At 38.4% G+C, this 16,134-nt stretch overlaps 1 protein-coding gene and 2 pseudogenes across 2 annotated transcripts in view; all 3 read left to right on the top strand.

The window, feature by feature from the left end:
• SHCBP1L (SHC binding and spindle associated 1 like) overlaps window positions 1-16,134 on the top strand; it is a 53,302-nt gene that overhangs the window by 1,861 nt on the left and 35,307 nt on the right. For both annotated transcript variants that reach the window (NM_030933.4, NM_001345928.2), the window contains 3 exons: window positions 10,763-10,977; window positions 11,753-11,839; window positions 11,912-12,130. In NM_030933.4, the coding sequence (NP_112195.2) occupies window positions 10,763-10,977; window positions 11,753-11,839; window positions 11,912-12,130 (521 nt within the window). The remainder of the gene's footprint in view (window positions 1-10,762; window positions 10,978-11,752; window positions 11,840-11,911; window positions 12,131-16,134) is intronic.
• Window positions 6,816-6,941, top strand: RNA5SP71 (RNA, 5S ribosomal pseudogene 71; annotated as a pseudogene).
• Window positions 8,784-10,000, top strand: HMGN1P4 (high mobility group nucleosome binding domain 1 pseudogene 4; annotated as a pseudogene).

Raw genomic sequence — 16,134 nt, 5'->3', positions numbered from 1 at the left:
TATTTGATCTTTGTTCTTTTTGAATCAGTTCTTTTAAAGACTAAAATATGACTTTATTATTTGGAGATTGATACACAAGAGTTGACACATTTTTACTTCTGTTTTAAGTTTCCGAGAAAATTAATAGTGTAAAAAGAAGGTTAGGGGAATATTAGTGCCTGTAAACCATTATCATTAAATGGAATCTAGTAGTATCAGACAATATTTATTAGCCTAGTTTTTGCTCAACTAATGTAAAAATAACAAAAATGCATTTCTTATAAAATTAGTGATTCAGTCTTTAACAAACTTGGGCCTTCTTTTTCTGTCTTTTCCCTTTAATCTTCATTTATCTGAATTAAGAAGTTTAGTTCAGATGAGGAAAAAAAAAGAAATGGATCAGAAAACTACTGGGAAAATTTGAAATTTTTTTCCTTTGAAAAGTACCCTTTTTAGGGAGGCTGAGGCAGGAGAATGGTGTGAACCCAGGAGGCGGAGCTTGCAGTGAGCTGAGATCATGCCACTGCACTCCAGCCTGGGCAACAGAGTGAGACTCCGTCTCAAAAAAAAAAAGTACCCTTCTAGTATAATATCTTCCAAGCCTTTATCTGATAAGATTTTTCTTTTTTTTTTCTTTTGAAACAGAGTTTCGTCCTGTCGCCCAGGCTGGAGTGCAGTGGTGTGATCTCGGCTACTGCAACCTCTGCCTCCCCGGTTCAAGCGATTCTCCTGCCCCAGCCTCCCGAGTAGCTGGGATTACAGGCGCATGCCACCATGCCCAGCTAATTTTTTGTATCTTTGGTAGAGACGGGGTTTAACCCTGTTGGCCAGGCTGGTCTTGAACTCCTAACCTTGTGATCTTTAGCAGAGAAGGGGTTTCACCATGTTGGCCAGACTGGTCTCGAACTCCTGGCCTCGTGATCTGCCTGACTCAGCCTCCCAAAGTGCTGGGATTACAGGCATGAGTCACTGCACCCGGCCCTAATAAGATTTTTCTTTGTTAGGCCTGTAGGCTAAACATTGTGGCATGTTTGATTCTGTTAAAGGTCAATTATCCTTATATAGAAATTAATATTTATAACCACAAATGATACCCTTACCCCAGATAGTTAGTTTAAATCTGTATTTTTGGATACAAGAAAAACTTATGTATGTAACTTGTTGTATTATATACTACTTGAAAACAATTTAAAAATATGTGTTCTGTGGAAAAGTCAGTGTCAGTTTTACAGATAAAGAATGGCGGCTGGGCGTGGTGGCTCACGCCTGTAGTCCCAACACTTTGGGAGGCCAAGGTAGGTGAATCACTTGAGCTCAGGAGTTAGAGACCAGCCTGAGCACCATGGTGAAACCCCATCTCTACCAGAAAAACAGGCACACACCTGTGGTCCCAGCTACTCAGGAGGCTGAGGTGGGAGGATCGCTTGAGCCTGGGAGGCAGAGGTTGCAGTGAGCCTGGGTGACATAGTGAGGCCCCATCTCAAAAAAAAAAAAAAAAAGAATACCATATTTTCAGTCACAGAGATTACAAAGGAATGTAAAAGATTATTGGGATTAGTTAATTTTTCAATAAGACTCTATTAGTTAATATTTCAGTAATACTGTTTCTTTTCCTTTTTCTTTTTTTTTCAAGATAAGGTCTAACTCTGTTGCCCAGGCTGGAGTGCAGTGGTGCAATCTCAGCTCACTGCAACCTCTTCCTCTAGGTTTCAAGCAGTCCTCCCACCTCAGCCTCCTGAGTAGCTGTGACTGCAGGCGTGTACCACCACACCCGGCTAATTTTTGTGTTTTTAGTAAAAACGGGATTTCACTATGTTGGCCAGGCTGGTCTCGAACCCCCGACCTCAAGTGATCCACCCACCTCAGTCTCCCAAAGTGCTGGGATTACAGGCAGAGCCACCATGCCCAGCCAGTAGTACTCTGTTTTGTAGAGGTTTGCTCATCTTCAGACTTTGAGTAGCTTTGCCGAGATCTTTCACAACTTCTCTGGATTTTTTTCATCTGGATAAAAATGGTTTTCATCTGGCTTTATGACTTTTTTTTTTTTAGTATAAGTTTGTGGGTTTTTTTTCAATCAGGTTTTATGTGGAAGCTTAACATTAAAGCAGAACATTTCTGATTGAAATGGATGATGGTGTCTTAGCAGCTCTCTCCATACCTCATGATAGCCCCTATACTCCATAAAACTTTTCAAGATCTCTAAAGTTCCATGGAAACTCAGTGGATTAGGTAACCTTAAAGTTCTATCAATTTCTAAGGTTTTACCTGCAATACATTGATTATTTAATCTGTCCCTGCCTTGCTTTAGAATTTGTGAGGGTCTAGTAATGTCCTCTAAATGTTAGAAAGACAGGATGAAGCATAAGAACAGAGGAAAAAGCAAAACAGTATATTGGCAGATTCTAATTCTTTTGTGGCAGAAAAACAAGTGAGAATGGCTCTTGGGACCTCTTAAGATAGTGCTGCACAATTCATATTGTTGTTTTATCTGACTCTGCTTCTTTAGTCTTACTTCAGTTGAAGTATTAATAATGCTATATAATACTCTTTGTTCTGATGTCACAATAATTTATTCCTATGGGCCCCTGATCGCTTTTTCTTTAGATGCTGTATTAGTTTTCTATTGCTGCCACAACAAATTACCACACTCAGTGGCTCAAAGAATACAAATTTATTATCTTACAACTCTGTAGGTCAGAAGTCTGACATGGGCCTAACTGAGCTAAAATCAAGGTGTATGCAAGGCTGCATACCTTTATGGAGGCTGTGTGGGAGAATCTGTTTCCTGGCCTTTTTTAACCTCTAGAAGCAGCCTGCATTCTGTGGCTTGTGGCCCTCTTCCTTCATCTTCAATGTGCTTCTCACACTGCATCTTTCTGCTTCACTGCAGGCTAAAAAGGCAGTCCCCTTTTAATAGACTCGTGATTAGAATGGGCCCAACTGGGTAATCCAAGATGACCTCCACATCTCAATGTCTTTAGTTGTAATCACATCTGTGAAGTCCATTTTGCCATGTAAGGTAACATATTCACAGATTAGGATTAGGGAATGGACGTCTTTGGGGGCCATTATTATGCCTATCATGAATTCATACAATAACCAACCAACAAACAAAAAACTTAGAAACATAGTGTTGACTCCTGAACAGTGCAGGGCCCTGCACAGTCAAAAATCCGTGTATAACTTTTGACTTCCCAAATACTTAACTAATAGCCTACTGTTGACTGGAAGCCTTGCTGATATCGTATACAGTTGATTAACATATTTTGTATGTCATAAATATGATAAACACTATATTCTTACAATAAAGTAAGCTAGAGAAAAGAAAATGTTATTAAGAAAATTGTAAAGGCAGGGCACAGAGGTCTGTGCTTGTAGTCCTAGCATTTTGGGAGCCCAAGGCAGGAGGATCGCTTAAAGTCAGAACTTTGAGACTAACCTGGGCAACATAGCAAGACCTCATCTCTACTGAAAATTTTAAAATGAACTGGGTGGTGGTGCACACCTATAGTCCTCTCTACATGGGAGGCTGAGGTGAGAGGATCACTTGAGCCCAGAAATTTGAGAGCAAGACCCTGTCTCATAAAAGAAAAATCATAAGGAAGAGAAAAATATATTTACTATTCATTATATAGAAATAGATCATCATAAAGATCTTCATTTCTGTTGTCTTCATGCTTAATAGGCTGAGGAGAAGGAGGAAGAGGAAGAAGAGGAGTTGGTCCTGCTGTCACTAGGGTAGCAGAGGCAGAAGAAAATACGCATATAAGTGGACCCATCCAGTTGGAACATGTGTTGTTCAAGGGTCAACTGTATTTGATGGGAAGGAAATCTAGCATATCCTTAATTTTGGTTATAAAATGGTCCAGAAATTAAGAAAACTTTTTTATAACTTCTGTACAAAGCAGTTTAGCAAAATATATCAAGAACTTTAAACTAGCACTTTATTTCTGGAAATGTCTTCTATGAAAATCGGAAATGTGGAAAAACATTGCTTCTTGGCCTTTTGCCTAAGATCCAAGTGTAGAAATGCAGAAAAAGATTTAGGTGTTAAGGTGATCATTGTGATTTTTTTTTTTTTTTTTTTTTTGAGACAGAGTCTCACTCTGTCACCCAGGCTGGAGTACCATGGCGCGATCTCGGCTCACTGCAATCTCCAGCTCCCAGGTTCAAGTGATTTTCCTGCCTCAGCCTCCTGAGTAGCTGGGATTATAGGCGCGAGCCACCATGCCCGGCTAATTTTTGTATTTTTAGTAGAGACGAGGTTTCACCATGTTGCCGAGGCTGGTCTCGAACTCTTGACCTCAGGTGATCCACCTGCCTCAGCCTCCCAAAGTGCTGAGATTACAGGCGTAAGCCACCGTGCCCAGCCACCTGGGCTTTTCTTTGCACCATATATTCTAGATGGGGTACTAGAAGAGCTAACAACCTGGAAACATCAACGTGTAAAACAGCAACAACAAAAAGCAGAATGAAGACAGGACAATTATTGTGCTTGAAGATAGAAAAATAGAAATTATCAAATCCTAACACCATAAAGAAAATAGACTTAAAAGGACAGAACCTCAGGAACATGTTGGACTATAACAAAAGACCTAGCATTCATGTCTTCAGAGTTCCAGAAGGAGAGAAGAAAGAGAGAGGGCTAAAAAATATTCAAAGAATGGCAGAAAATTTACCAAATTTGGCAAAAGATATAAACCTACAAATTTAAGAAGCCAAATTGAGGAGCATGGTTAAGGGTGGGAGTACTCCCATTGGGAAGAAGGGAATTACATGAAAATTTGCTGGTACTGAATGTTGGGATCCTCTATCTTCTACCTTCCAACTCTGCTTCTAGAACACAGGCAGCTAAGGCATATCACTCCAGGAATGAGATTTGAAATATTTTTGTATGATCATATGCTAAAAAAAAAAAAAGACTTAATGATACTGATTTACCACAGAAAGAGCCTGGGTGGATCAACCAGTGAAGAGGAGATGAGGAGGAGAAGAAAGGAAGAGAGAAGAGAGATGGGGGAAGAGGTTGGTGGCAAGAACAGAAGAAAGCAAATTGTCAAATTGTAAAGGTTTCTCAGAACCAAAGGTCATAAATTTCTAGACTGAAAGGGCCCACTTAGTGTCCAACACATAATGAAATTTGGGAATACTGGGACCAAAGAGAAGGTCCAATAAGATTCCAGAGAGGAAAAAGATAGGTTTATATAAAGAATCAAGAGGTAGAATGGCATCAGACATCAGACCTTTCCTTTTTTTTTTTTTTTTTTAAGACGGAGTCTTGCTCTGTTGCCCAGGCTGGAGTGCAGTGGTGCAGTCTTGGCTCACTGCAACCTCCACTTCCCAGGCTCAAGCAATTCTCATGCCTCAGCCTCCCGAGTAGCTGAGACTGCAGGCATGCGCCACCATACCCAGCTAATTTTTGTATTTTTAGTAGAGATGGGGTTTCACTATGTTTACCAGGCTGGTCTGGAACTCCCGGCCTCAAGACATCCTCCCACCTCGGCCTCCCAAAGTGCTGGGATTACAGATGTAAGCCACCACACCCAATCCAGACTTTTCAAAAGTAATTCTTAGTTTTAAAAAGCTATGAAAATGTATTTTCAAAAATTTTAGGGAAAGTGATATCCCACTGTATAATTTTATACCTAGGCACACTATAAGTCAAGTGTAGAAAAAATACATTTTCAAATATGTGAGGTCTCAAAAGTTATGTCCAATGCACCCTTTCTTAGGAAGTTAATGGATGTCATCTACAGTCAAGGGAGTAAATCAAGAAATACGAAGACATCAGATTCAAAATGTAGAGAAGCCACAACCTAAGAGAAAAACAAAGGGAATTCCTGGGATGATGGCAAAGTGATAACAGCTATGTACATAGCAGGCCTAGAGAACCACTTCAGAATAGAACTGGTCAGAGAACTCTGGAAGAGTGCTTTAAATAAAATGAAACCAGTATTTTATTTCAAACACAATCTATTGGCTTTGAACATATTGAAAGGAGATTTTTACAACTTAAGGAATTTGGGGCTAAATTAATGAAAGCCACGTAGAAAATGAGCAAATGGCTGGGCGCAGTGGCTCACGCCTGTAATACCAGCACTTTGGGAGGCCAAGACGGACGGATTGCCTGAGGTCAGGAGTTCAAGACCAGCCTGGCTAACATGGTGAAACCCCATCTCTACTAAAAATACAAAAAATAGCCGGATGTGGTGGCGCACGCCTGTAGTCCCAGATACGTGGGAGGCTGAGGCAGGAGAATTGCTTGAACCCGGGAGGCAGAGGAGTTGCAGTGAGCCCGAGATCACACCACTGCACTCTAGCCTGGGTGACAAAGAAAGGCTCCGTCTCAAAAAAAAAAAAAAAAAAAAAGAAAGAAAGAAAAAAGAAAATGAGCAAATGAAAAGCAATACAATTATTGACTGCTGGGAAAACGTTTTTTGCAGGAATGAAAAATCAGCTCACACCATATGGCTCACCTGTGAATCACATTTTTCAAACATATTAAGATAAATGCTGAATACTTAAGATATAACCATATTGGTGAATGAAAGGCCAGGAAAGAGTGGTTGTATATTAAGGAAATGAGGCAAAATGAAAGAGATAACTAAATTCTTATCTTTCAGAGTTGGAAGTCAATATCCAATGCCAAAACTGGAAACAAAACTTTAAGTAGCAATATAAGCATATTATTTAAAGATAAAGATATAAATGTCAAAAAATAATCAGCTAAAAGAGTTAAAAATGGTTGCCTCTGAGGAGCAAGAATTAGAGGGTGATAGAAGACCATCAAGGAATTCTATTTTTCTTTCTTTTTTTTTTTTTTGAGACTGAGTATCATCTACGGCCATACCACTCTGAACACGCCCCATCTTGTCTGATCTCGGAAGCTAAGCAGGGTCGGGCCTGGTTAGTGCTTGGATGGGAGATGGAGTCTCGCTCTGTCACTCAGGCTGGAGTGCAGTAGCATGATCTCGGCTCACTGCAACCTCTGCCTCCTGGGTTCCAGCGATTCTCCTGCCCTAGCCTTCCACGTAGCTGGGACTATAGGTGCACGCCACCATGCCTGGCTAATTTTGTATTTTTAGTAGAGACAGGGTTTCAGCACGTTGGCCAGGCTGGTCTCAAACTCCTGACCTCAGGTGATCTGCCTGCCTCGGCCTCCCGGCCTCTTTTATTTATTTATTTATTTATTTATTTATTTATTTTGAGAAGTAGTCTTGCTCTGTTGCCCAGGCTGGAGTGCAGTGGCGCGATCTCGGCTCACTGCAACCTCCACCTCCCAGGTTCAAGCTATTCTCCTGCCTCAGCCTCCTGAGTAGCTGGCATTACAGGCACGCACCACCACTCCAGGCTAATTTTTGTATTTTTTAGTAGAGATGGGGTTTCACCACGTTGGCCAGGCTTGTCTTGAACTCCTGACATCAGGTGATCCACCCGCCTCGGCTTCCCCAAGTGCTGGGATTACAGGCGTGAGCCACCGCACCCAGCCTGAACTCTATTTTTCATAACAAACCTGGTACAGCTATTTGATTCTAAACTATATGCATGTATAATACTGAAAAAAATCAAAACTAGGCCAGGCCAGGTGCAGTGGCTCACGCCTGTAATCCCAGTACTTTGGGAGGCTGAGGCGGGTGGATCATCTGAGGTCGAGAGTTTGAGACCAGCCTGGCCAATATGGTGAAACCCTATCTCTACTAAAAATACAATAATTAGCCAGGCTGTGGTGGTGCATGCCTGTAATCCCAGCTACTTGGGAGGCTGAGGCTGGAGAATCGCTTGAACCTGGGAGGCAGAGGTTGCAGTGAGCTGAGATTGCACCGCTGCACTCCAGCTGGGGCAACAGAGTGAGACCCTGTCTCAAAAAAAAAAACAAAAACAAACACAAACAAACAAAAAAAACTAGGCCAGGCATGGTGGCTCATTCCTGTAATCCCAGCGCTTTGAGAGGCTGAGGCAGCAGGATCACTGGAGGCCAGGAGTTCAAGACCAGCCTAGGCAACATAGTGAGACCCTGTCTGTACCAAAAAAAAAAAAAAAAAAAAAAAAAATCAAGAATGGTGGCACAGGTAGTCCTAGCTAATTGGGAGGCTGAGCAGGGAGGATTGTTTGAGCCCAGGAGTTCGAGGCTGCAGTGAGCTATGATCGTGCCACTGCACTTTAGCCTGGGCAACAGAGTGAAACCCTGTTTCTTAAAAAAAAGAGAGAGAACTAAAATATTAAAATATAAAGCTCAGTATCATATTTCGTAATGACTCTTTGGAAATATATTTTTGTCCTGTCACAAATATGGATTGCAGATCATTTATTATCTTCAAACACCCAGTTTTAAGTTGTTATTCTATTTTCTAAGTTTTCTTCTGTCCCATAACTGCTTTGAAGAACATAATTTATATTAAATTAGTTATAAACTTTGTATTTCAAAGTTTGGTTAGTGATTTGAAGATATTTCCTGTATTTAAGTGATTATTGTTTTATGTGCTGATGATATAACACTTACTGATATTTAAAATATTTTTTGTGACATAACTCTACCGAAAAATAAAGAATTTCATTGGCTGTACTTGAAAATTTTTAGAACAGATTTTGGAAGTGTTTGTGTTAATACTAATTTTGTGCCAACATTTTAAAATTTGTATTAATGTGTAATTTATTAAATTTTTAAAAAACTATCAACTTTGGTTCTGAAGCACTGATTTTCAGACAAGTGCAGGGAAGTATCACTATACTATGGTGAAATAAGATGAATAAACAATATAGCATGTTGTTCATGAAGCTAAATCAACTTAAGAATTTTACTCTTGGTGGGTCTCAGTAGCTCGGGCGGCGGGAGGAGTGGCAGCGGCCAGGCAGCCCAGTTTCGCGGAGGCTCTCGGCGCGCCACGGCCCGCAGGCACCCGGCACGCGCCCTGCCTGCCGCCAGGATACCCAAGAGGAAGGTCAGCTCCGCCGAAGGGGCCGCCAAGGAAGAGCCCAACAGGAGATCGGGGCGGTTGTCAGCTAAGCCTCCTGCAACAGTGGAAGCGAAGCCGAAAAAGGCAGCAGCGAAGGATAAATCTTCAGACAAAAAAGTGCAAACAAAAGGGAAAAGGGGAGCAAAGGGAAAACAGGCCGAAGTGGCTAACCAAGAAACTAAAGATTTACCTGCAGAAAATGGGGAAACGAAAACTGAGGAGAGTCCAGCCTCTGATGAAGCAGGAGAGAAAGAAGCCAAGTCTGATTAATACCATATACCATGTCTTATCAGTGGTCCCTGTCTCCCTTCTTGTACAATCCAGAGGAATATTTTTATCAACTATTTTGTAAATGCAAGTTTTTTAGTAGCTCTAGAAACATTTTTAAGAAGGAGGGAATCCCACCTCATCCCATTTTTTAAGTGTAAATGCTTTTTTTTAAGAGGTGAAATCATTTGCTGGTTGTTTATTTTTTGGTACAACCAGAAAATAGTGTGGGATATTGAATTATGGGAGGCTTTGACTGTCTCAGGTATCAGCTTAACATTCCATAGGTGGGGGGTTAGTTTTTATATCCTATAATACAAAGCATATTAAATGGCAGTATGGAGTCAGTACTGCATTTAATGTCTTGAACATTTTAAATTACTTCCATTCCCATGTTTTTTAGAAGAATTGTTTCCTAAAGAAAACCACTCTTTGATCATGGCTCTCCCTGTCAGAATTGTGTGCACTCTGTAACATCTTTGGTTGTGGTAGTCCTGTTTTCCTAATAACTTTGTTATTGTGCTGTGAAAGGTTACAAATTTGAATATGTAGTGTAGGTGCTATTCAGTTGTGAACTGGTGGGCTGTATGTAACAGCTGACCAACATGTGAAGATACTGGTACTTTATAGCCTCTTAAAGAAAATTTGCTTCCAAATTTTAAGCTGGAAAGTCACTGGAATAACTTTAAAAAAGAATTACAATAAATGGCTTTTTAGATTTTTGTTACATATGTCAAGAATTGTGTACAAATTGAAATGTCTGAACTGATCCTTAACCAATAAAATCTCAATTTTGAAAAAAAAAAGAATTTTACTCTTTATGTCCTTTCTCCTTTTTTTTTTTTTTTTTTTGGTGTTTGAGTAGCCATTCTTCTACCAATGGTGTAATACAGATAGCAGGGCTTTTTTTTTTTAACATGCTTTTGTTTGTTTTTGTTTTTTTGTTATTATCATTGTCATTTTTATTATTTTGCTACTTTATTCAGTGCTTACTGTGTGCTAGATGCCCACTGGAAGCTTATAATTATGATTTATTATATTTAACATGCTTTTATGGCAAAATTTGTTGAAAAATTTTTCGATAATATTAGCTGGGCACAGTGGCATGTTCCTGTAGTCCCAGGTCCTGAGGAGGCTGAGGTAAGAGGATGGCTTGAGCCCAGGAATTCAAGGATTAGTGTGCAATGATTACACCTGTGAATAGCCACTGCACACTAGCCTGAGCAACCACAGTAAGACCCTGCCATATGTGTGTGTGTCACACACACACACACTGTTTTATGAAATCTCAAAGTCTGGCAACTCAATCTTAGAAACAAATAATGTAGGAGATACAGAATTCCTTTCATGAAACTGAAAAAAAATGTATTTAAGAAGTAGGGTTTGTAAAACTATTGGTAGTATATTTAATATTGATCTATAATTATTCTGTATGTTGATTGTTGAAGAAGTCATAAATTTAAAAGAAGAAACTTTATAATGAGCTCATATATGAGAAAGAAATCCTGCGGTTTACTGATATTTATAACTATATCTCTTATCTCTTATGATATTTATCTTAGGTAACTTGTGAACCATACCAAGACTCATCATCTCGTTTCAAAGTTACTGTTTCTGTTGCTGAGCCCTTTTCTTCCAACATTGCAAATATTCCAAGAGATTTGGTTGATGAGATTTTGGAGGAACTGGAACACAGTGTGCCTCTTTTGGAAGTGTATCCTGTTGAGGGACAAGATACTGATATACATGTTATTGCTTTGGCCTTGGAAGTTGTCAGGTATTAGGGCCTTTACTTTTGAAAATTAAATTTATTATATCCAAAAGTTAATGTGAAGGTTTTGTTCATATAATCGCTTTACAAGCACTTACTGATTTAATTTTCACTCACTACTGCTGGATTAAATTTGTCCATTTTAAATTAACATATTGTATTTGTAACTTTTAGTAAAAACATTTCCTTGCAGAAACATTATATATGGGTAATGAAAAGTTTGCAATTTTTTGATCTTGCATTTTATAAAAATAAAATTTAAAGGAATTCTTGAAATAAGTAACATTAACTTCTATTCATATTTAAGCATCTTAAATTTATTAACATTCATTTCTCAAATTTAAAGGCATTACAAATACTAGATATCATCATTCACATTATGATTGCTTCTTATAAGTTGATACAATTTGAGGGAAGCTATCCACAAACAAAATACAGAATATTTTTTGGCATGTTTTTGTTTTTCTAATGTTTTCCTCCCATACAAATTTGGTAGTATCTTACATATTATTTATTTTTTGAGCAAATAATAGCCAAAATCTATAAAATTTAGAAACAATTTTACAGTCCCACTCATTATCTCATTCACTGTAACCTAAAATAGAATGCAGATCATCTAATTTTTGAAGTTTTACCTTTTAGTTCACTCAAAGGTCATTTTAAAATATTTTGCTTAAGAATTAAGATTGAGGTAGAGAATTCTGACATCAGAATATCCATTTAGCTCTAAATCAGTAGTGGCTGTTTTTGATTACTGTCATCTTAATTTGGTTTATCGTAGGTTTTTTTATGACTTTCTTTGGAGAGACTGGGATGATGAAGAAAGTTGTGAGAATTATACTGCACTTATTGAAGAAAGAATTAATTTGTAAGTATAGTTTATAAACTTATACCGCACATTAGAAAAAATAAACATTGTAATTATGTTGATAATTTTCAGGTGGTGTGATATACAGGATGGAACAATACCTGGTCCTATCGCACAACGTTTTAAAAAAACTTTGGAGAAATATAAAAACAAACGTGTCGAGCTCATTGAGTATCAGAGCAATATTAAAGAAGATCCATCTGCAGCAGAGGCTGTTGAATGCTGGAAAAAATACTATGAGATAGTCATGCTCTGTGGATTACTGAAAATGTGGGAAGATTTACGCCTCCGGTAATAATTTGCTCTATTTCAAATAGAAGCAAAAGTTTACATGGTTATTATTTTATCATAGCACTTAATTTGTGGTATATGTTCTGATTAAAGTGAAGTATAAAATTAGATGTCTAATTTATGAGGTAAGCACAAGGTACAACTATCAGTATTAGAAAATTGTATTAGCTGAATTCACTGAAATCATTGTTTTTTTTGACCAAAAGAACTCATTAATCCATTTCTTTCCTTATCTTTCATTTTAACTCTTTTGATTTTGGCCAAAGCATAAGAAAGGAAGAGGTGGACCTCCTCTATATATAATATGTGAAGCAAATAAGATAACTGGATTATAGCTAAAAGAGTAGCAAGACATAGACAGAGTCTGTCTACATAACAGTTTTTAAAAGAAGCACAAAGACAGGCTGGACATGGTGGCCCACACCTGTAATCCCAATACTTTGGGAGGACAAGGTAGGAGGATCACTTGAGGCCAAGAGTTTGAGACCAGCCTTGGGCAGCATATTGAGGCCCCATCTCTACAATAAACAAACAGATTTTTAAAATTTAGCTAGGAATGTAGTGGGGTGTGCCTGTAGTCTCAGCTACTTGGGAGGCTGAGGCAGGAGGATCACTTGAGCCGAAGAGTTTGAGGCTGCAGTAAGCATCGATCATGCTACTGCACTCCAGCCTGGGCAACAGAGCGAGACCCTGTCTCTTTGTTGTTGTTGTTGTTGTTTGTTTGTTTTTTTGACCCTGTCTCTTAAAAGAAAAAAATAAAAGAAGAAGCACAAGCTGGGTGCGGTGGCTCACGCCTGTCATCCCAGCACTTTGGGAGGCCGAGGTGGGCAGATCACCTGAGGTCAGGAGTTTGAGACCAGCCTCAACATGGAGAAACCCCATCTCTACTAAAAACACAAAATTAGCCGGGCGTGGTGGTGCATGCCTGTAATCCCAGCTACTCGGGAGGCTGAGGCAGGAGAATTGCTTGAACCTGGGAGGCGGAGGTTGCGGTGAGCCGAGATCACGCCATTGCACTCCAGCCTGGGCAACAAGAGCGAAACTCCATCTCAGAAAGAAAAAATAAGAAGCACAAAGACAAGACGGGGGACAAAAACAAGGAAACTAGAGGAATTTGAAGCTTCTGACACCTACAGCTATAGTACCCATTAAACACAACCTAGCCAGATTAATATAAAACCTCACACTAAAGGCCTTTTAACCTGTTCTGTTACCTGATTTGTCATGTTGGGCTTTGAACAATAAATTATAAGGCATGCTAAAAGGCAAGAAAAATAAAAACACTTCAGAGAAACAAAGCAAATATCACAGAGACTCAGGTATGATTTTGGAATTCATCAGTCAGAGAATTTAAAATTCATCAATAGCTGGGATACATGATCTATTGTGGGAAGAAAGAATTAATAATGAGTTTAAAGATTTGTCAATAGAAACTTCCCAAACAGAAATGCAAAGAAAAAGGAATGAAAGAAACTGAAGAGAACATTCAAGAACTGTGGGACAGTTTCAAAAGGTGTTAACATATGTGTAATTGTAATACCAGAAGAAGAAGGAAGAGCAAATGGATCAGAAGAAATACTTGAATTAATAATGATGAGAATTTTCCAAAATTAAATACAGACACAAAACCACAGATCCATAAAGCTCAGAGAACACCAAACAGGATAAATATCAAAGAATCAACACCTAGGCATATCACATTTAAACTGCATGAAACGACAAATAAAGAAAAAATATCCTGAAGGAAGCCAAAGGAAAAAACCCACATTACCTACTATAGTGAACAAGAATTTCTCAGAAGGAACTATGAAAATAAGATGAGAGTGGAGAGAAATATTCAAAATGTTGAAAGAACCACCAAACTAGAATTCTGTATCTAGTGAAATTATTCTTCAAATGTGAGCAAGAAATACTTGCTCAGACAAAACAAAACAAACAAAACTGAGAGTTTATCATTAGTAGGCCTGTTCTGCAAGAAAGGTTAAAGGAAGTTCTTCAGGGAAAAGAAAAATGAGAAAAACTCATGTCTACATATAGTAAGGAACAATGTGGGAGAAGGAATAAAGGTAAAATAAATTATTTTATTATCATTATTATTATTATTTTATTTATTTATTTTTCTGAGACAGGGTCTTGCCCTGTCACCCAGGCTGGAGTGCAGTGACGTGATCATGGCTCACTGCAGCCTCGACTTCCCAGGCTCAAGTGATCCTCTCACTTCAGTCTTCTGAGCAGCTGGGACCACAGGTGTGTGCCACCATGCCTGGCTAATTTTTTTATTTTTATTTTTGTGGAGGCAGGGTCTCACTATATTGCCCTTGCTGATCTCAAACTCCTGGGCTCAAGTGATCCTCCCACCTCGACCTCCAAAGTGCTGAGATTACAGGTGTGACCCACTGTGTCCAGCCTCTATTTTTCTTATTGTTGATTGATCTAAAAGATAGCTATTTAACATAATAGTGGTAATGATTCATTAGGTAATTAAAGCTCATGGATTACTGAAATAAATGAAACAATATCATAAAAGATGGGAGGATAGAATTGGAATACTCTGTTATATGGTATCTGCATGACATGTGAAGTAGTATAGTGTTATTTGAAAGTGGACTTAAATTAGTTAAAAATATATGTTGCAATCTCTAGGGCAAATATTAATTTTTTAAAAAAAGAAGTATAATTGATTTAAGAGAGTAGATACAATGGAACAAAATAAAATGCTAAATTAAAACTAGAAGAGGCAGGTCTGGGTGTGGTGGCTCATACCTGTAATCCCAGCATTTTGGGAGGCCAAGGTGGGTGGATCACCTGAGGTCAGGAGTCCAGACCAGCCTGGCCAACATGGTGAAACCCCATCTCTACTAAAAATAAAAAAATTAGCCAGTTGTGGCGGTGCATGCCTGTAATCCCAGCTACTCAGGAGGCTGAGACACGAGAATCACTTGAACCTGTGAGGTGGAGGTTGCAGTAAGCTGAGATCATGCCACTGCACTCCAGCCTGGGTGACAGAATAAGACTCTGTCTCAAAAAAAAAAAAAAAAAAAAAAACAAAAAACAAAAAAGCAACCAAAACACTAGAAGAGGCAGAAAAGAAAGGGAAAAAGGAAACAAAGGACAAGTGCAACCTCTGTATTAATAGAAACCAGCTACAATATGGTAAATGTTAATTATGTCAAAATAACTGTAAATGTAAATGGTCTAAATAAAAAAGCAGAGATTATGAAAATGGATTTAAGAAAACAATATCCAACTATATGTGATCTGTAAGAAACCCACTTTATAAAGGTTCAGATATGTTCAAAGTAAAGGGATGGAGAAAGATATTTCATGCTCATGCTAATTAATAAAAATCTGGTGTGGCTATATTAATTTCAGATGAAGCAGCCTTTAAGAACTAGGACAATTATCAGGACAAAAAGGGACATTTCATGATGATAAAGGGTTTGGTTCTCCAGGAAGATGTAACAATTCCTTACCATTCCTATTCACCTTCATACTAGAAGTTCTAAATAATGCAATAAGACAAGAAAAAGAAACAAAAGGCCTACAAACTGGAAAAGAAGAAATAAATCTATCTTTATTTGCAGATGACATAATTGTCTATGTAGAAAATCCCAAAGAATCAAAAAGGAACAAAACTCCTGAAACCGATAAATGAGTATAGCAAGTTTACAGGAAGCAAGGTTAATATTCAAAAATCAACTGCTTTTTTATATACCAGCAGTGAGCAATTTATTTTAAATTTTAAAAATTATTGACAATAGAACCAAAAATGTGAAATACTTAGGTATATACCTAACAAAATATAGGACCTATAATGCAGAAAGCTACAATACACTGATGACAATAAATGGAGAGATATCTTATGTTCTTGGATTGGAAGACCCAATATTTTAAAAATGTCAGTTCTTCCCAACTTGATCTGTAGATCCAGTGCAATCCCAGTGAAATTCATAGCAAAATATTTTGTAGATATTGGCAAACTGTTTCTAAAACTCATGTGGAAA

This window comes from Homo sapiens, chromosome 1 (genome assembly GCF_000001405.40).
Source record: "Homo sapiens chromosome 1, GRCh38.p14 Primary Assembly".
Taxonomy (NCBI): Eukaryota; Metazoa; Chordata; class Mammalia; order Primates; family Hominidae; genus Homo; species Homo sapiens.
Note: the sequence above shows the minus strand (reverse complement) of the source record. Positions and strands in the feature narration are given on the sequence as shown.